Source organism: Homo sapiens, chromosome 6, assembly GCF_000001405.40.
Source record: "Homo sapiens chromosome 6, GRCh38.p14 Primary Assembly".
Taxonomy (NCBI): Eukaryota; Metazoa; Chordata; class Mammalia; order Primates; family Hominidae; genus Homo; species Homo sapiens.
Genome location: NC_000006.12, coordinates 97101126 through 97122821, shown reverse-complemented (window position 1 = coordinate 97122821; position 21696 = coordinate 97101126). Strand labels below are relative to the sequence as shown.

At 39.1% G+C, this 21696-nt stretch overlaps 1 protein-coding gene across 26 annotated transcripts in view; it reads right to left on the bottom strand.

Moving 5' to 3' along the window:
• The window catches only part of KLHL32 (kelch like family member 32), a 242671-nt gene that overhangs the window by 17932 nt on the left and 203043 nt on the right, over positions 1–21696 (bottom strand). For 13 of the 26 annotated variants that reach the window (NM_001323252.2, NM_052904.4, NM_001323253.2 and 10 more), the window contains one exon: positions 8313–9039. The exons of 4 other annotated variants lie outside the window; for them this stretch is intronic. In NM_001323252.2, coding sequence (NP_001310181.1) covers positions 8313–9039 — 727 coding nt within the window. Of the gene's footprint in view, positions 1–8078; positions 9040–17300; positions 17380–21696 lie in introns of those variants that run through there. 9 more of the 26 variants (NM_001323260.2, NM_001323261.2, NM_001323262.2 and 6 more) reach the window with 5 other exon arrangements.

Below are 21696 nucleotides of genomic sequence, written 5' to 3'. Positions count from 1 at the left end.
TTGGGGAAGCCATTTAACACAGCCATGCTCAGCTTCCTCATATGCAAAACAGTGATGATGATACATTCCTCATAGGTTTCAGATGAACTAGAGTGCAAAGCATAGAGACAATCCACAGAGGGAAGTTTGCTACAATCCTGTAGCTGTTTATAAAAATTTCTTACCATTTCCATAAACTTTCTCCAGTTCTTGAAAGACTATAACTTCACGCTTACAATTTAATTACCTAAAGAACAACCTGCCATTAAGTGCAAGTTCCTATTAGTCACTATTTAGAGGGCTACACTCATTGTTAGCCCTTAAAAAAAGTAATACCATAGGAACATTTATAATAAATGCAAAACCAAACTTACCTATTTTTATATGACATTAGACTGTCCATATTTTCTGGATGTTTATAATACTAAACAATTACAGCTAAGAATCTTTCTACTAAATTAGCATCTTGAATAGAAGCATACATAATCCATGCATTAAATTAAAACTAGTATCCATATTATTTCTGTCATACTTGAGGAACCCACACAGATGATGGGTACTTAATATACTCAAAACCTGCAAAGTCTCTAATTTACAAAATACCTATAAAGGCAGGGTTGCTGCATTTGAAAATAGAAATTATGTCATTTAGAGCAAATAGGTGCAAACTTGTGACCCAGAAATATGTAAAGTATGCATTATGTATTGTTTTAAATAAATGAAATGATAAAATGGGGGTGAAATCAACCATAATGCAGATATCAATTAGATTCACCTGCCCTTTATAATCTCAATAATATTCACTCTAACTCCCATTCCTCATTCTGTAGAAAGTTGAAATCCTGCCTCCAAATATTTTTGCACATTCCCAGCAGGGTCAAACTCTCAAGGCCACCTCTGTCTGTCTTTCATGTCCCAGCTTTGCTGTGCTCTTGGATCTTTTATCTCCCTTCCACCATCAGCTAAGTTCTTCAGCCATTCCCTATTTCTATGGCGTAGCTTTAACCATCTTCTCTCCTCTTGGGAATAAAGCAAATGATATTGTTCACATATTCTTTAGTAGAACAATACAGCTCACCATTTAGTTTACCGTCTTTTACTAGACCCATCTAGTTAGACACAAAACAATCATCTAAACAAAGGGGGTTCTCTCCGTGAGAAGAGTTTTGTAGCCAACGATTTGGACATTAAAAAAAACAAAACAAAACAAAACTTTACAACACCAATTTTAAAGGCCATTAGACTCCTGTAGTATGTAATTCTTTCAGAAAAAAATTTCTAATCTACACCAATGTATTTTAGAGTAGTTCCATTTTATCACCTTTCTCTTTACATTTTAAATTTTAGAAACTGAACCGTAAAATCGCAGAAAGACATTATGTGTCTCTTCTCACCCCTGAGAAGAATGGACAGTTAAGCAATTAAGGACAATCAATGATTGTTGATTCTAAACAAATCCCCAGATAGCACTCTGCTTCTGTGTATCATTTACTTTCAGTTTTATGCCATTTGGAAGTTCTTTTTTACAATTTAAGCATCTATTTTGCAGACCTTCACTGTCATGATAAACAACTGGTAACCTGTGTGGTTTGGTGGGAAAAGCATGGTCTAAAGAACCAGAGACACAGAGTTCAAATTCTAACTCTGTCAGCTATAAGCTGTGTGATCTGTGGAGTCATTTAACCTCTTCAAGCCTCATTTCCTGGGCAGTGATGTGAGGGTAAATCAACAAAGTGCAACTTATTCGGGATACAGTTAAGACAGTTTAGGATGAAAGCTTTGTTAATTATTTGGAGAATGTAGGTGATCTGATTGCTTTCTTTCCTTTAAATCATTTAGCTCTCTAACAAGCATTGTAGAATACTACATTTCTGTTTGTTTTCCACCTCAGTTCAATACTAGAGTAGCTTTGTTTTCATCTCTTTCAGATGGGAGGTAGGAAAGATTGGGGCACAAGTGAAAAAAAGAAAAAGTAACTGCTGGGGGCAGCTGGTTGCTAGGATCTAAAGCAACAAAGATTTAATTCTTCATGGACATTCTAATTCACTAGGAACTTTTAAGTGGATGTGCCAAGTTATCCACCTCCTAACCTCTACCAGGCAAGTGGCTTCCTCACATCATGGCCGCCTCCAGGGACAACAAGGGGGCATTCTCTTACTACTTACTCCCGCAACACACACTTTTCTCCCTCAAGCAAATCTTCAGCTCTTGCCTCTCACCTAACTGAGATCCTAGCTTGCTGAACTCCTTCCAGGAGGATTCTCTGGACTATTCCAGTCTCATAACCTTTCATCATGAGTGAATCCACAGATCTGCCTTCTTCAGTCCTCTGCTGAGCACCATAAAACGACAGAAATTTGAAAACAGAGCCACTACAGTTTTGTGGTTTCCAAGGTTAGTGTGGATTCTGAACACCTATTTTTCTTTAACCTGTTAATTCCCTCTGTTTTCTCTCAGAGGCTTATTCCAAGGTCACTCTCCTCAGGCCCTCTACTTAGTCCTGACAGGCACAATCTCGACAGACCTGTTTCTCATTTGAATCAATCTACAAGAAACCTCCTCAGGTTCCTGCCCCTCACCTGTGAGCTTACCTAGGTTCACACCCATAATTATCTCCTTCCCTCCAGGCTTAAGGGTCCCTCCCTTCTCATGTTCAAGACCTAACCCCTGCCCAGTTCCTTGCCTTTCAGTACACTGTCTGTTTTCAATATTGTATCCTCAGGACTCTTCACTGTTCCTGGTACCTGGGAAATGCTCTCAGCGTTTACCAGCCAAATGGATGCCCCTCCTCCCTACACCTTCAATTTCACTCTCTTTCCTTATTAATATATATGCTCGGTGCACTTGCATCCTTAAACAAACAAAATCCCTCCTTCACCTCTGGATTTCGTCTTCTAGCTACTCAGCCAAACTCCCCTCTTGCTTCCTTTTCTCAACCAACTCCCCTCTTTCTTCCTTTCTTTCCTTCTTAATCTCCTTTATTCTTACTAAAGCCAAAATGCTATTTATTAATTTATAATGAAAAAATGAGGCTGTTACATGAACTAAAATATGTGAACAACTAAAAACAACACATTCTCTCCCTAAATGTATACAGGAAGCCAGACTGTTAATTGGAAAGTTGTCTGATAAGCTCAGATTCGGGGAATGAAGTTTAGAAAATATGCTTGTTCATTAGTATTAGACTAAGAAAGGCTTTATCCTAACTTTTTGCCAAGGTAGTCTGCACCTGGGGTTTCTATTTCCTCACTTTTCAATCATACCTTAAACTACTGTATTCTAGTTTCCGCCTTCTTCCAATTTCCTGAAACTGCTTTCACTACAATTTTCCCAATTAAAAAATGCAGTGGAAATATTTTGGACCTTGATATCCCTGTAGTGTTTCCCAAACTTCTGCCCTTAGCCCCTTTCCAGACAAACTCTTATCCATCTCTCTTGTCACACTCTCTGCCTCCTCCTCCTATTATCTCACTTAGATTTGCTCTGAGAAACCAAAGGAAAGATCTTCTCTCTGAGTCTGAGAAGAGGGGGTTTTGAGGAAAGTGAAGAAGTTCCAGCCAGTGAAGGAAAGGGGTGAGAGAGTAGCAGTAGGGGATAGAGAGGGCTGAGAGTGCCACTGTGCGTGATGTGCTGAGAATATACCCATACCAAGCCCTCCTGCTAATTGTCCTCCTCCCACAGGTAGAGCCACCTAGGTACAGGGACAGAACAAGCAGATTACTGGGTTTGTCAAACACTGCATGTTTCCCAGAGGACAAGATAATTATTGAAGTGATTGGACCATGAAGTTCAAGTGTGAGGACAGGGAGGAGTTAATGGATAATAGAAAGTAGCCAATGGACCCGCAGCTAAGTTAGGCACCTCCAGGGTTAAAATAATTCCTCAATTATTTTAGGTGCTACCTTTCCTGCCTTCTGCAATAGTCACTCCCTGCTTTGCACTACTTTTGTACCTTGGAAAGACTTCTGCTGTCACCCTCTAATTACCTGTTTAAAAGTCTGTTCCCTCTACTATATGCTACTTTAATGCTCCAGCACTATCCCGGAACAGGACTTGGAGAGGTTAGGAACTTGAGCTCAGCATCTCATCATGGATAAGAAATGCAGCACAAGTTTTGTGTGTGTGTGACCACGGTCTGTGGTCTCAGTGCACCACAACTCAGCCTCTGCTATGCCTGCTGTTAGTTCCCAATATTTTGTCTACAATTCTTTTTTTTTTTTTTTGAGATGCAGTTTCGCTTTTCTTGCCCAGGCTGGAGTGCAGTGGTGTGACCTCGCCTCACTGCAACCTCCACCTCCCGGGTTCAAGCAATTCTCCTGTCTCAGCCTCCCAAGTAGCTGCGATTACAGGCGCCCGCCACCACGCCCAGCTAATTTTTGTATTTTTAGTAGAGATGGGGTTTCACCATGCTGGCCAGGCTGGTCTCGAACTCCTAATCTCAGGCGATCCGCCCGCCTCGGCCTCCCAAAGTGCTGGGATTACTGGCGTGAGCCACTGCACCCGGCCTTTGTCTACAATTCTCAAGATGTAAGTAAAACAATATCTGCAAAAAGATAAGGCAATTATATTTTTAAATGTTAATAAAATTTTACATTATTTTAATTAATACTAGAAAAACCCAAGTCCTGTTAGTAGCTTTGAATAAATTGAAGTTATTTAAAATGGGGCAATGCAAACTTCATATAAATTTAATCAAGATGAAAATACACATAGCTTCTAGGGAGTTAAGCCTTAACAAATGTCCTTTCCTTAATGAAATATCTGAAAAATTATTTGATTGCCAGCTCCTAGAGGGCAGGAAGTATGTTTGCTAAATTAATTTCATGTATCTGTGACTCAGCACTATACTTTACAAGGATGTGGCATTCACCAAGAGAATCAAGAAAGCACTAAATATTGCTTTTGAGTAAATGCAATAACATTTGTCTTATTTTTATAGTTTTAAAGCACTAACTTTGCAGTTAGCCTCTTATTTTGCTATCATTTGATGAAAATGAAAAAAATAAGCTGTTCTTCATGATGAGCTCAGGATTAATTTTCCCTCACACACAAAAAAAGGTTCTTTTTAGTAGTTCACAAACTATACCTTCCAACAGAGAGCATATATTTTAAAAACACAGCTGTAGGATATTTAAGAGCTTATTTTACCTTGATACTGCAATTTTCAAATCAAAATGGTATGGAACACTTGTGAATTGGGTCACAATGTCAAACGCTACAGGAGCCTGTACAATTCGACTCTAACATCTTTAATTAAATGCTAATGGATATGTACACGCAGCAGGATTTTCTGGATTCCTTTCGGCTTGTCATACTTTTAAAAACTATAAACAGGTTTCAAGATTTCCTGACCCCAAAATGGACCAAAATGGGGGAGAGGTGTGGAGAGGGAGTGAGCACGCTGGAAATGTCAAGTCTCTAAAGAAACATTCATTCTGTGTTCTAGAGAACAGAACCAAGACCCTAAAATCCACCTTCTATAATCCATACTACCCCCACCTCAGGCAAAGTTTGCAAAATACCAGAAGGATGCCAATGATTCAATTCCCATCAATTAAATTGGAAATACATGATTACTTGGTAAAGGATAAGGAATAGCCTCAAACATTTTCATCTGCTCCAGTAAATCAGGTTACACTCCCAACTCAGTGATAGGCAGGGTGAACTATACCTGTATTTTTGTTAAGGGGCCCATTAGCAAATCTAGTCACCCCTCCCTATTCATGTTTAGATTCACAATTGATTTATTATAAGCTGGGCCTGAGGAAAGAGGCAGATGACTGAAGGTATTAGAAATGTCACTGGCGATTTCCTCTTCTTTCCAATTAAAGATATTGTACTGTACACAGCAAAGTGAGTTTTTCATCTCAAGTACACAGTAAGGAGAAACAAACCTGAGAAAATTGTGATTGTTTTCATTAAGTTTGGTTAACAGAGGCAGCATATATTAGTGCAAAAGAAGAACAAAGAAAATGTATTTCCTTTCACAGTAGGAGAAAAACAAAGTGAGATAGCAATAAGGATCTGTAATAGGTTGATAGATTTAATAAAATGGAAAAGGAAACATATAGACACATATTGAAAGGGAAGTCAGCTTGATACCAGGACGACGGATCTAGCGAGTCTAAGAGGAGCTTCTGTGCTTTCTTAAGGCCTCACTGAAGAAGGTATTAAATCGTCATATCTTTAAGACTATGTAAGGGAAACCCCAGCATTCTTTTACAAGCTAGGTTTACAGCCAAAACACAAGGAATATTTATTAAAATATTTATGAGAAATTCATACAAAACTTAGAAAATGCAGTGCAAAATTTAGGAATACAGTATATTAATAATATATGAAACTAAATGAGTCAATGGAAGGAATGTCAATTGGGAGAAAACATAAATGGCATTGATTTCATAAACCCATCGTTGTTTTGCCATCCAAGACAAGTACAGATCTGTTCCTTCTGTTAGCAAAGACTTATTTGCTGCCTAGCTTGAAATTTCTCCAGCACAGCTAAAAGAATATAGTCTTGGTGGTTATTAACTGTTGAAATATACATTTAAAGAAAAAGGAACAGTAATTAGATAAATGAGGTTTTAATTTAAATATATCTACATATACTAACATACATACTTGTTTCTAATGTTTCTTTGGTATAGAGCCAGTAAATGTTGGGTCCACTTCATCTGTCTGCTTCCTTAGTCCTAGTCTTCCCTTCATTCATTAATTTATTGAGCACTTAAACCCTGATGTGAGCTAGGTTCTGTCAATAAAACTCAGTGAATTGCCAATAACTGAGGCACCGCTCAGAGAAGCTGAGCCTGTGACTATCTTCCTGGTTATTGAGGACAGCAGAAGAACAGTCAAAGTCCAAATGAATTTAAAGAAGTGCAAGGGAGAATTTTGTCAGAGCAGGTGTTAGAACACTAGAGACGATTATTGAGGAAAGCTGAGAAGCCTTTGCAGGTGTACTTAAAAGTAATGATTTCTTCTAAGTACAAACATCAGGGTTATTCTTAATATTTAAGTTTTTTACCCTTTCTATTCCTCTTAGTGCTTGATGACACAGAAATCCAACAAGTTCCATTTGGATTACAATATGAGTATCTTCCAACTGGGAGAAAATGCAGCTTTCTTCCTGATAGAAAAACCTTTCAAAGGAGAACACTTAGGGCCTTTCTCAAAACTAAGATTGAAAACACATGTTTATAATGTGATGTTGATAGCATATGCCTCACAGACTCCTTCTGTATAAGCAAAAAGGCAGCCCAGAGGGGTGTGATGGGTCTGTGGGTGTAGAGAAAACAAGATTGGCAAGGAGTAGTTAATTGTGGATTTTGGGTTGTGGGTACATGGGGTTCATTATTCTAGTCTCCCTACTTTTTCCATAATCAAAAGGTTTTCAAAAGAGATGAAAAGGTAAACTAGAGCTCAAACTGTACCATCAGTAAAAATAGGAGAGTAAATAGGAATGAAGGGTTAGAATGGCACAAGTAACTACCATTCACGGATAATTAAAAACAAACAAACTTTGTTTTAGGCTGGGCACAGTGGCTCACGCCTGCAATCCCAACACTTTGGGAGGCCAAGACTGGTGGATTGCTTGAGCTCAGGAGTTCAAGGGCAGCCTGGGCAATGTAGTGAAACCCTGCCTTGACAAAAATTACAAAAATTAGCTGGGTGTGGTGGTGTGCTCCTGTAGTCCCAGCTATTTGGGAAGCTGAGGTGGGAGGATCACTTGAGCCTGAGAGGTGGAGGTTGCAGTGAGTCGAGATGGCACCACTGCACTCCAGCCTGGGTAACAAGAGTGAGACCCTATCTGAAACAGCAACAACAACAACTTTGTTTTGGTAACTTAAATCCCTTCTCTCAATGCACAGCATAGTGATTACTTGGATATATACCTATTGATATACCCAGAAAAATGGATTAACTGGGCTTATACTTCTCTTGCCTTGTCTTTGATGAAATGGCTCTAGTCAGGTAGCCAGGGGTGAAAGAAAAAGCAAAGGACCTAGATAAACCACAAGCTGTGCAATACAATCCATGAATAATCAAGAGCTGACAGGAGAAGTTCTGGTAGGAAAAAAACAGTTGTGATGGACCAACAATTTCCACCTTGAATTTTTATTCCATTAGTCACTCAGAAAGTCACAGAAAGGCATATTATTTCCAATTACATTGCTCTCTAGAGTAGGTGCTCAATAAATGAATGTTAATTAGCTAAAATGGCATGCTTGGTTCAATCTTTCAATTACACATGGCCACAGTATTAAAGCTTGACTTTTAAATATATACCACAATGAAAGTGTGTTTTGATAAATCCAACATGAGGTATGTTCTACCTGATATCCAAAGAAGACCATCAGCCACATATCCAGCATGGCATGAAAGGGATCTGTCAAAGGACTGAACAAAAGTCCATTTGTTCTTCTTGGGGCAATATCGCTCAACTGTAGGCAGAACCTGGCGCAGTTCATTTCTGCCCCCAACTGCATAGAGGTATTCCTCCATGGCACCCAGCACAAAATGCTCCCGGCAGTTTTTCATGGGTGCTATCTCTGCCCAGGAATTACTGCGGGGGTCATAGCGACAGGCAGTCCTCACAGCACACGTCCGGCCACTGGCATGCTCAACTTCCCCTCCTGCCACAAACAGGAAGTCCCCCATGACTGCCACACAATGGTGGCTCCTTCCCACAGGCATGGGAGCCAGCTCACTCCAGTTGGCAATGGCAGCTATGAGAGCATTCTCCTGATCAACAGGATTGAAGTACCGAAGTTCCTTGACCTTGCAGACCTCGCGCTTTTTCCCACCAATGATATACAGAGTGTCTGACTGGAATCGTGGTTTGGTCCTGCGAGTCTGCCAGACAGGCTGTGCATAGATGCTCTGGTGGTATTCCAGGGCCTCGTTGACAAGGGCTGTTGCAGTCTCACTTGCTTGGACAAGGGGGTGGGACAGGGCAACTGTATGGAGAGTATCCACATCCATTAGGCCAAAGCGGATGTATTGCAGGAGCTCGTCCATGTACTGGTAGTGGCAGTTGTGTTCCAACCACCTCACAGCTAGCTGAAACAGAGGGAAGTGAGATGAGAGGAGACACAAAGGTAAGAAAGAAAGAGAAAGCAACAGCATATAGGTAGGTTACCTGTATTCTTCCAGGCAGGTAATAATACAAACTTTCTTACAAACAGTATAACTGGAATATTTTGAAGCCCATGTGAGGAACTTTTTTTCCGTCTCAGCAAAGACACAAAAGCACTCAAGACATTGCTGTAGGGGTAAGAAACAATGTGAAGCAACACTGATGGGGGCTTCAGATACCATTTGGGGTGAACAGTAATTGATTTTCAAAGAATGAAAATGCTGTTGTGAAACAGCCTGTTCCCTTATGTTTCATGCATAAGAGGCTCAGTACACCCCACCACCAGGAAATGTCAATGGTGGGAGGTGTCATCAAAGCTCAGGTAATATATGTCAACCCATAAGCCAAGGTGCTGTATCAATATGAGTAACGTAAGAAAATATGTGATCATCTGAGACCACAGGGTGTACTTGAGAGAAAGTCAACATAACACTAGCAGAATGATTTAGAAAGAAAAAAGACTCCCCCTCCCACCCCACATCCCTTTAGTAGGTATAACAGTCAGGAAGCAAGAAAAGAAAAAATAAGATTCTAACCTATTAATTTTTTCTCTCAATTAACTTTTACCTTGAAGACAGTTGTAATTTGCACATGTAAGATACTGGAAATTTGTTAGAGTCGTTTGCACAAAAACAGAATATAGAGGAGATCATCTTTGTATTATGAACATAATAGCAGAATGTAATCCTAACCTTTTTATTCCTTTCAGATCTCTTCTAAGAAGGAAAGGAGTTATAACATTTTGATATGAGCAAAGAGAATTTCTTAAAACTAAAGCAGGTACATTGTCATACATAATAAAAATTATTGTTTAATTTTGTTATAATAATTTTATAAATAAAATTATATATTTATTATTAAATAATAAAGAATATTGTTTCATTTTGTTATTTATGATAATGTACCTGCTTTAGTTTTAAGAAATTCTCCTTTTTTTTTTTAAAATTAAAAAAATTCATCAGGGCCAGGCATGGTGGCTCACGCCTGTAATCCCAGCACTTTGGGAGGCCTAGGCAGGCAGATCAAGAGGTCAAGGGTTTGAGTCCAGCCTGGCCAACATGGTGAAACCCTGTCTTTACTAAGACTACAAAAATTAGCTGGGCGTGGTGGCACGTGCCTGTAGTCCCAGCTACTCGGGAGGCTGAGGCAGGAGAATTGCTTGAACCCGGGAGGTGGAGCTTACAGTGAGCTGAGATCCCACCATTGCACTCCAGCCTGGGCAACAGAGCAAGACTCCATCTCAGGAAAAAAAAAAAATCATCAATGAAAAAACCACAATTCATTTATGGAGCACCTAAAGTAATTTAATTAGTGTGACTTAATAGTTAAGTTTGGCAAACCTTCCCACACACCAGCATAATGAAGTATATCTAACATCTCAGTCAACATATTTGATATGAATTATTCTTAGCAGCACTTACATTAAAGTAGATCTCCCAGACAATGTGAATGTGAGTCTGAAGGAATTAGCAGGAAAGAATGAAGCAAAGAAATAGAATATTAAATAATTTTGATAGGGACAGGAGGCAGGAAATTCTGGGCAGAAGAAGATGGGTCCCCACTGAGGGCCCCACCCTCAAGCCTGGCACCGCAGCCCAAAGTGAGAACATACATTCCTGTTTCATGCTGGAATGTTGACTTTTCCAAAACCACCCATGATCCACCCCACCCCCCCATCCTGTACCCATAAAAACCCCTGACACAGCCAGCAGAGAGGAGAAGTGACTGAACATCAAGAGGAGAAGCAGCAGCTAAATGTCAGAGACTATAGTTGGAGAGAAGTGGCTTGACTTCAGAGGGACAGCTTGACAGCATAGCTTCAGAGAGGAGTCCAACAGGGGATGGCCAGACTTCAGGGGAAGATTACCTTCCCACCCCATCCCCTTTCCAGCTCCCCTTTCTACTAAGAGTCACTTTCATTGGCAATAAAATCCCCCACATTTACCGTCTTCATCTTGTTTGTGTGACTTCATTCCTCCTGAACGCCAGACAAGAACTCAGGTGCCAAGAGGGTGACCCTCCACTGAGCTGTTAATATTTAAGCCATCCACAGATGGCAAAGATAAAAGAAGGTGTACCATAACACTCCTTCTGGAGCTTTGGGGGCTACAGGCACTCCCCACTAGATGCTGTGGTGGGGCCTGCACAGAGTTTTGCTCCTGCCAGTGCCCAAAAGCACTTGCCAGGTCCTGCACTCACTCACCTGCATGTTCCGTCCCATGAGGGGTTGGGTGCAGCGGGTTCGAGTGAGTGAAGTTTACCTCTGCTGGCACTGAAGCGGCTGGCTAGCCCCAGCACCCGCATTCCAGTTCCCGCCCGTGAAGGGGTCAGGGAATCTGGAGGCCCGCCCAGGATCTTCCTCTGGGAGCCTGCCTAGGATACATCAGAAGGGTGAGTAAAATGCAGATCTGTCTCTTCTTGTCCTCAGACTTTCTTCTGAGCTATGCCTCTTGCAGGGGACAGGATGCAACACTGCCATCTCTCTCTTTCCTGCAGGTGAAAGGAATGTTGGCTCTGTTTCCCTTCATGGAGGCTTAGCCACCATGTGGGACCAGAATAAAGTCCTGGGGCAACTGAAGGCATCTGGCCAAGGCCACTCCTCAGTGTTGCTGGAAGGCCCCTGGACTGGACCCAGTCCCAGATGTAACAGGTGGTTGGCTAAGACCCCCCCCCCCCAAGACTTTTCTGTGGTATCTTTCCTTTCTTCCTTTGTGGTTTGAAATGGCTCCTTATCTGTTCTTTTATAATGTTAAGGTTTTGCTACAAACTTCAGAAATGTTACTAAGTAGAATAAGCATTTGGCCCAGCAATCAGATAAGCAATTCAGAACAATGTGAATTGCCACAACCATCCCCACACCAACAGCAGCAGGCTTCTGTTTTGAGTTTGCCCCTGCCGGCACCGAAATAGCCAGCTAGCTCCATTGCCCGTGCTCCGGTTCCCGCCTGCAAAGCTGTCAAGGAAAATATCCTGCTTCAATTTTATCGTGCTTTACTTCCTTTTTGAACCATGGAATCAGGATTCTGGGCTTCCCTGTTCAGATAACAGATTTTACTGGGGGATCAGGGGAAATGTACTGAGGGAGGGAAGAGGAAATGTGGTATTCTCAGACCACTGCTCCTTGGCAAACACAAACTGGGTTTTCAACCCGGTGAAAAGAATCACTAAACTCTCTAAGGCACTAGATGATTTCAGACATTCAGAGTTTCTGCATCCAGTTGAAAAAGGGCTCCAGAAAGGCAAGATGCATTTTGGGCTTGTCTTTTTAGTTTTCTGAATGAAGTGAACGTGGAAGTGAATTCACTTCTGCTACGTCATGAATTGCATCTCTTAATGAGTGACAGAGTGAGAGAAATGAAAAAGGAAATGTCGCTAGGTGCCAAGGAGGCAGACACGGTAGAGGTCAAACAAGCGATACACTCTAGATGCTTTTATAGAAGGTAGCATTTTTAACTAAATAAGATACCAACCTGACAAAAAATTATCTATGTATGGTAATATCTGCAATAATCAAAGATATTGCAAAAGAAATGAGTGATATGGAAAAATGGTACTCATCAATCACCAGGTCTCTGCCAGAAGTGGAGACAGTTCCCACATGCTGCACCCTAGATTTTCTCTACCCTAATCTTGGAATTTTCAAGACACGGGGTTCCAATTATTTCTGGGGAGATTGTTCAGCAACTTGATAAATAATTTTCCACTCTTTGCCCACAGTGTTTTTAAAAGTTCTCAGGGATAAAGTCATCCAGCTCAAGGTCATTTCTTATGCACCAGGGAAAAATTTCTGAAACGTAATATTTGCTATTGTTCCTAATTTAGTCAAGTAATTCTAGCTGATATTGCTTTGCTCTGCAACCAATTTCTTGGCATTCTTATATCCTTACAGTTCTGCATCCACATAGATACTACCGGAAACAGCACTAGAGACATTAGATAAATATCCATGTCTCCATAGGCTCTTTTTATAGCATAGTGCTGCCCATTTAATTATTTTTCTCTCTCCTCATAAATCAGCTCTTCCTATGCCATAATCAATCTTCTGGCCCATCTCTGAACACCCTCCGGTTTATCTTTATCTTTCCAGCAAGCAGTGTTACTAACTGCGTGAGAAGCACACAAGCCTCAACTAAGCTATGCTTTTAAGAAAAACTCTAAAGAATAAAATTAGCCATGGAACGGTGACCACTGTGATCTATTACTGATTAATTTCTGGTTTGTGGTCTACTATCATCCCACATCACATGTGTCATGATGCTTTCTGTGTTCAATTTCTCCAAATACTATGTATTACAGAATATTTTGTGCATAACTATTAGTTTGCATTTTCTGAGATATTTTTATCTTATTTCTTTCCAACATTTCTAACTTCTCATAGATTTCATATAACTTTCAACTTTTATCATTTATTAATATTTTCAGACTATACAAGTCATCCCTACTTGTTGGGTTTATATTTTTTTCCAGATCAAAGGTGAATCTAATTTACAACTAACCATCTTGTCACCAACTACAAACTTAACATGTACACAAATTACACGGGGGTTTCTGGTCAAAATGTAGGCTCTCATTCAGCAGGTGGGGGACTGGAGGATGAGGAGTCTGCACTTCCAACAAAGTCCTTGTTGCATATGCCACTGGTCCATGTACCACACTTTGAATAGGAAGGCTTTGGACAGATTTCCATTCATAACAGTATTCTCCTATCAGGCTGTCATGAATTTAGTTACTCTACGAAGCTGTATTTATTAACTGTTCCATCCACTATGGTAAATTGCTGCCTTATCAGAGGAAATTCACTCTGTTTTTTAAATTTAAGCAGGTATAAATCCAGTGAAGTTGAAGTAATGCTTAAGTTATGATATAAGATACTTAATTAGCTTAATATTACGGATGAGGTAGCATTTTTTGAGACCTTGGTTCTATACAGTCTATAAATCGATGGCTGATTCTGATAACATAAAGTAAGCCATAGAAACACTCTGCATTTTTGCCTTTGCAATAATAAACACATAAATGTAAAAGTGTTACTGTGCTCTGTTTTTACGTTCATAAGAATCTAAAGGAGAAACCCCACTGAAATCACAGATAACTCTTGTTTATTCAAATAAATAATTAAAAAATGGCAAAGAAAATTCAAAACAATGGGCCACTTCAAAATCACCTCTGTGCTGTGAACCTCATCTAACATTATTCACTGCCATGCTGGTGGAGGGAATCCTGGAGCCCATTTAAGGAGCTTAAAGACTACTACAGTAAGAGGAAAGCTGATTTATCATTGGGGCATCATAAAACCCAAAGACAACAGTTAGCTTTGTGGTATATTTCGGTGCTTAAGCTTGAAAAAAATTATTCTTGGAACTGGTGGCTTTTAAAATAATGGCATTACACTGAGAAAGCACAACTCAGGGTAAGCTGAATCCTATTCTATCTTATTTATTCTGGCATACTGAAATCCCTATCACCATAAACTCTAGGATTTAATGGGGAAGAAAATGGAGCATGCAGCATTTTTGGTGGCCAAGCCAGCAAGAGTGGAAAAGAAACAACAGATTCAGTTTAGGAGGACATTACGAAAGAGTGCTTAGGAAACATGGCCATTAGGTAAGACATTTCCTAAACCACCTGCAACACAGCAGACCGTCATTTCCATGTACAACAGGAGGTCTCTCAAGCACCCTGCCTGACCCAATTCATCTGACCACAATGGAGAATTGTTCCTTCCTAAAAGGAACATTAGCTACAGCTTAATCCAACTTCAAACCAATTGATCCTCAGATATTTGCTAAGAACAGCACCTGACCCACAGTTTGCTATACATATTTGTGGCATAAATGGAAAATTCGGTTTTTAGGCTATTTCTCAGATTCTCTCAAACAAATAGTATCAAATCCTTTATTCACACATACATACACACATATTTATTTATCTATCACAGGCTTCAGTTTTCTATTTTATTATCTCATCTTTATGGCTTTCTTATAAGGCCTTTATAAGCCCTCAAGGCTCCACACTGCAGCATACAGTGCCCTAAACTTAGATTCATAAGCCCTTGTTTTCTTCCCTCACATGTTTGGTGTTGGCCACTTCTATTTGAGATTCTTGGCAAAGCAATAAGCATTGCAGTGTTTTAAACCTTCAAATAAATTATAAAATATTTGAGCAAGAAGAAAGCTGAGTCCACTTGGCTCAAGCTTTTAAATTTTACAAATGGAAATCAAAACCAGACAAGTTAACCGACTTAACCCAAGTCATACAATGAATTAGCAGAAAAGCTAGAACTAGAAACTGTTTTTAACTTATACCATGTATTTTTTAATTATATCTACTTGCCATTATTTTTCCATCAATAATTATTTCAAGGGAAAATCCAGGCAAATGCACTAAGTCCAAACATAACTTCTTTTTTTTTTTTGAGATGGAGTCTTGCCTTTCGCCCAGGCCGGACTGCAGTGGCGCGATCTCGGCTCACTGCAAGCTCCGCCTCCTGGATTCACGCCATTCTCCTGCCTCAGCCTCCCGAGTAGCTGGGACTACAGGCACCTGCCACCACGCCCAGCTAATTTTTTGTATTTTTAGTAAGAGACAGGGTTTCACCGTGTTAGCCAAGATGGTCTCGATCTCCTGACCTCGTGATCCGCCCGCCTTCGCCTCCCAAAGTGCTGGGATTACAGGTGTGAGCCACCGCGCTCAGCCCAAAAAATAACTTCTATATTCAATAAATTAGAAAAATAAATTCTGCTTTAAAAATAAGAATGTTTTGCTTCAAAATAGGTTGGTAGTATTTTTCAGTGAGCCTCATTTATGGATTACTTCAGAAATAAAGACCATAGGTTTATGATACCAAGTAAAGAGTTTGTAATTAAAGAACAAATACTGAGGGAAAAGGACATGTCTTGAGTGTTGAATTATTGCTTCCCTTTTTATGAGAATACATATTTCACATTTAATTTTTTTTTTTTTTGAGACAGGGTCTCCTCTGTCACCCGGAGTGGAGTGCAGTGGCGCAATCTCAGCTCACTACGACTTCTGCCTCCCAGGCTCAAGCGATTCTCCTGTCTCAGCCTCCCAAGTAGCTGGGATTACAAGCGTGCGCCATTACCACCCAGCTATTTTTTGTATTTTTAGTAGAAACGGGGTTTCACCATGTTGGTCAGGCTGGTCTCAAACTACCGACCTCAAATGATCCATCTGCCTTGGCCTCCTAAAGTGCTGGGATTACAAGTGTTAGCCACTGCACCCGGTCTATTTTTTAAATGTATTTTAGTTCTAGATTATTTCTTGTTAACTAAATTTGACCCAAAAATATACAGAACAGATAATCCCTTCCCTTTAGTTTTCTCAGCATATCCCTACTGATTGCTACTCTACAGAGTAGAATATATGATATATAATCCTAAACATAATAGTATAATTCTAAATGCTACAAATTTTGTCCTAGTTCAATTAAAATATGCAATTTAATCATATGTATTTCAGAAATATATCAATTATATGAAAAAAGTTATATTCCTAACATTATCAAGTCCTCATATTGTGATTCTAATTCCTTTATTGTTCATGTGAAACACACTCAGACAGAAGCTGCTGTTTTGATATCTAAAATTCCTGATTCTTTTAAAGAAGTGGATGTTTTGAATTCCAACTGCTTGTATATATCCATATATATTATACACTATGACCCCAAAGGAATGCCAAAACAATGAAAATGTTATTCTCCGATTTCCAGAAAATACATTAATTATGAAGACATCCCAAATTCAAGAATAAACATTATTGCACTCTTCCATAGAACTGTCTTTATATCTTGCAAATATATATAAATACAAGTGCCCTTAAAAAGCAGGCTCTCATCAGATGAGTGATCAAATCTTTTAAAGCAATGCTAACAAAGAATAAAGCCCTATGTCATTGTCTAAAAGTAACAAGTATTTTTTTTTTGTCTTGGTCTACAAATATTGTCTTTCACTGAAAGGATGTTCTTATCACAGAGCTCATCATGAAGAGCTGAGTAAGCAATGACTGGTCTTTTTGCTCATAGCCTTTATTCTGCTCCTTGGCCAGGGGCAGCTATTATTATGTTCCTATGTAAAATCTGGTTGCAGATAGCTCTGCTGAAGGTGCACACGGAGCCCTTCTCTTTGCAGAATCCCACGCTGTGAGGCACAAGTGTCCATATCCTTACCAGTCTTGTCATCCCATTGAGGTAAGCCAGGGCACCAGTCTCCCCTCAGTGCACAAAAGGCAGCACAAATTCCACACTTCTGCAAATTCAGAAAAAGACAAAGGAAGGGCACAGGAGCAAGTCAAAAACTCACTCCTGAACCTCCATCAAACAGCAGGGCATGTTGATGAGCTCTTGGGCAACAAGAAGTAGGAAGCCAGGAAAGCGTGTTTTAATAGAATGGATGATGATGCATAGACGAATCTTTTCCTTTCTAAACAGAGTATCGAGCATGCTCTTTATCTTCTAATTTGTGTTCTCAAAGGGAAGAGTTCAGTGATCATTCTATATTAAAGTACATTGTTTTAGATATTATTTTATAATGCCTTGAATTCTAATAAACATAAAACTTTAGCATGTTATCCTTTTAATATTACATACAGTTTCTTTAAAAATGTGATGTTTCCCTAATGCAAGTGAGCAGGTGTTGCGATTTGCCATGCAATACTACACAGAAGCTCACCTCTTTAACGTGAATCATGTAAGGTGAAATAATGGTGTCATAAACCAGAATAGCAACTGCCATAGAGAGAAAAGTGTATACTAATAAATAAATGTGACAGATCTTATAGTTACATTCTCTTCCTTGAGACCAAATGAAAAGTTTCAGTTCAAAAAGACAACTTTCCCATAAAATCGAAAAGCACCAGAAACTAGGGACGCAGCATCAGAGCATTTTCCTTTACCAGAACAATGAAAATGTTACCATGGAGGAATATTAAAAATTATAACAGTGCTCACCTGAGTGCTATAATTAAAACTGCGTCAACATTTTCCTTGTAAGACAGATCTTTCAAGGGAGATTGCACATTAACCATTATAGCTGACTACAGACTTATGTAAGACACATAGGCTATTTTTTCTTCTAAGAAATATATTTCAATGGAACCAAATCTGATGAGGCCCGAGGCTCATATACTGTAAGAAAAAAAACCTGACAGATTTTTAAAACAATATTCAGCTTATCACAGATGATAATAATACATTATTTCATTGTTCCTTTAAAACTTTGGGAAATTGAAAGATTGGTAAATGTTATTATGTTCACCTTTAGCATAAGATTTGTTCTCTGGTAATCATCTTTAAACACATGTTTTAAAGTACATACTTCAGAGTTCCAAAAGCGAAAAGCCCTTGCAACTAAAGGTGTCTATTTCCCACAAATGGGGATAAACACACAGGACTGGAAGAACCACAACAAAAACTACCCTCAGACCTGCCACATGTAAGTTCCAGATATTTAGTGGGGGTGCATGAAAAGTGACCTGAGTTGTCCCTTTGCTCAATCTTATAACAATAACAAAAGAGGATTTATTTAAAAGGTAAATTTTATATCAAGATGAAGAGAAAATCAAGATAGGATAAGAGGTGAGGTTAATAACCTGTGATATCTTCTCTACTTGTGAGATTCAGCCACCAGTGTAAGCTGATCTTTGGAAAGCCAGTATTAAAAGGGCAATGTGAGTATATGGCTGACATTGGATCAGTTATTTGGCTCTCATTTTTAAAATAAATTAGTTGATGAGAGAGTCTCCTCCTTCTCTAGGATATACGTCACCTATGGATCCACCAAAAATATTTTAAAGTAGAATTCTCTAATTTTCCTAGAGGTGGTAGAGGCAACCAAAATTAATCTAGTACCCAAGTCACAGGTTTCTGTAGCACAGAGAGTTTTGATAAATCTCTTTTCAGAAAAACAAGGTGACATTTTTTTGTCTATAATTCTGTGCTCAGCAGAAATGTCTGCGTGAATGTTTGCATGTATGAAAGTGCACATGCACGTGGGGCCAATGCAGAGAACTAGGTTACATCATAGTCACTCTCCCTAGGAACAACTTTGATCAGATTATATCATGAAACTGAATAATAATACCATCTCTTGTAAAAATAAAATTTGTGCCAAAGAATACAAATTTCAAATTTATTAAGGTGACTGCTTCAAGGTAATATTGGTTAGAATCCCAGAATAAGATTTTATACATGGCTGGGCGCCTGTAATCCCAGCACTTTGGGAGGCCAAGGCGGGCAGATCACAAGGTCAGGAGATCGAGACCATCCTGGCTAACATGGTGAAACCCCATCTCTACCAAAAATACAAAAAATTACCCAGGTGTGATGGCAGGTGCCTATAGTCCCAGCTGCTCAGGAGGCTGAGGCAGGAGAATCGCATGAACCTGGGAAGCGGAGCTTGCAGTGAGCTGAGATCGCACCACTGCACTCCAGCCTGGGTGACAGAGCGAGACGCCGTCTCAAAAAAAAAAAAAAAAAAGATAAATTCAAGTTTTAGTAAATTGTTCACATATATTTTACCTCTGGACTGTCTTTAAATGTACCATTCCCTCCATGAGGGAATACAGTGGTATATTTACATTTATATACGTTTATTTATATATAATGGGCATATTTATATTTCTATGTTTATTTATATATAATGGTATATTTATATTTATTTACCTCGTAGAGGTAAATATACCTTCATGATGGTGGAGGGTGGGGGAGGAGGGAGAGGAGCAGAAAAAATAACTATTGAGTACTAGGCTTAATATCTGGGTGATGAAATAATCTGTACAAACCCCCATGACATCAGTTTACCTATATAAGAAACCTTCACGTGTACTCCCAAACCTAAAATAAAAGTTATATGTATATATACCATTCCCATCCCATATCTAGTATATACAAAACTTTTAAATGGCGAAAATGTCCTACAGGACAATAAAAAACAGCACCACCCTTGCCAATGATGCCATAGGAAAAATGAAACCCATTCTTGGTCTCCTCATATTTGAGCAAAACACATGTACAGTTATAGAATAACACCCTATAATTTCCCTTCAGTGGTTTGATCATAGTCTCTGAGCCAAAAGACAATATTCATCCATCTAGTCATTGATGGCTGGGATTGCATCAGAGCATTACTCAATACTGGATTGATGACATGAGACTTCTAAATAAAATGATAGCTCCTGCATATTTACATAACATGTCCTACTAGATGTTGAAGGAACTTTGCATGTGGTCACTGAGGTATTTAGCTTATATTGTATAACTACACTGGAAAATGAGAGAAAACCAATTTGGTCAATAAAAGAAAACCCTTCTGTATCACATTGGCAATAGGGACTAGAGTGACCTCATGTGGGTCACAACACCCCCCATTGTTTCCTAGCTACTGCATGCAATAAGGATGCATTACCAGGGTGAAGTCAGCTGAAATGGCCAGGGAAATCCTGATGCTTTTTTCTATCACAAATTGGTATATGCCTATAGAGGTAAATCTGACACAAGGAAAAGAATACAGGACTTGATGTCAAAAGACCCATTTCTGCAACCTAATATATTTGTGCATTTATGAAAAACCAACATGCTGATACTCAGTTTTATCAACATACTGATACTCAGCAAAACAAGTATGATAATACCTATGTCATAGGGTTCTACGGAAGACTGAATGCGATCAGACATGTGAAGGTGCCTGGTAAACTGATATTTAGACAATGTACAGAATTTATATGATGGCAATATGCCTCCAAGAGATGAAGGTATTCCCCAATATAATTATCCTTTTAAATTCATGATAAAGCCATCACATGCAGACCATTTTTATGTAATACAACATTGTGTGTTAGTGATGTAAATTTTGAGAGATTGCTATAGTTGATAAGAAATTTGCTATACAGTATTAAATACTTCACATATTTAAAGTGATAATAAAACCATGGCAGCACAACAGATTATAAACTAGCTCTTATGATTAACCATATTTCACACAAATAAACTCAGTAATTCTAATCCAGTAATTTAAGTTCTGTGGCTTTGTTAAATTCAACGTTGGAGAAGCATGAACGAATGCATGAATGAATGAATGAATGAAAAGGGAGAGACAGACTGAAACCCAGTTGTTTTTGTACAATACTCAGCATATAAGTCACTTTCATCACTTGGCTTGGATCTCCCATTACAAACACTTCTCGTTTTCTTAAGTGTCCATTATATGTCAGAAACTTGGTGAGAAAGATTCTAATCAGTGTATATCAACGTTCTCATTTGCCATTCACTTCCATTAATATCATAAAACTCGAGGCTTATTCTTGATTTTGAGTGTCTTGATATGTTCCTGTAAAATATTCTAATGAAATTTGGAATTGTTGGAGGTAATCCTGCAAATCTGGAAGTTTAAGCCTTTTGTAGACAGATTTTTCAGAAACGCACACGAATCATCTTTCTATGTTGTCATTTCATTGGTGTTTTAAATGTTGCTGGCACATTTATACATTTTATGGTTTAAAAAAACTGTTTAATTTGTAAACATGCATCCTGAGAGCATTAGGCCTTTGAATATTTGTTCATGAATTGA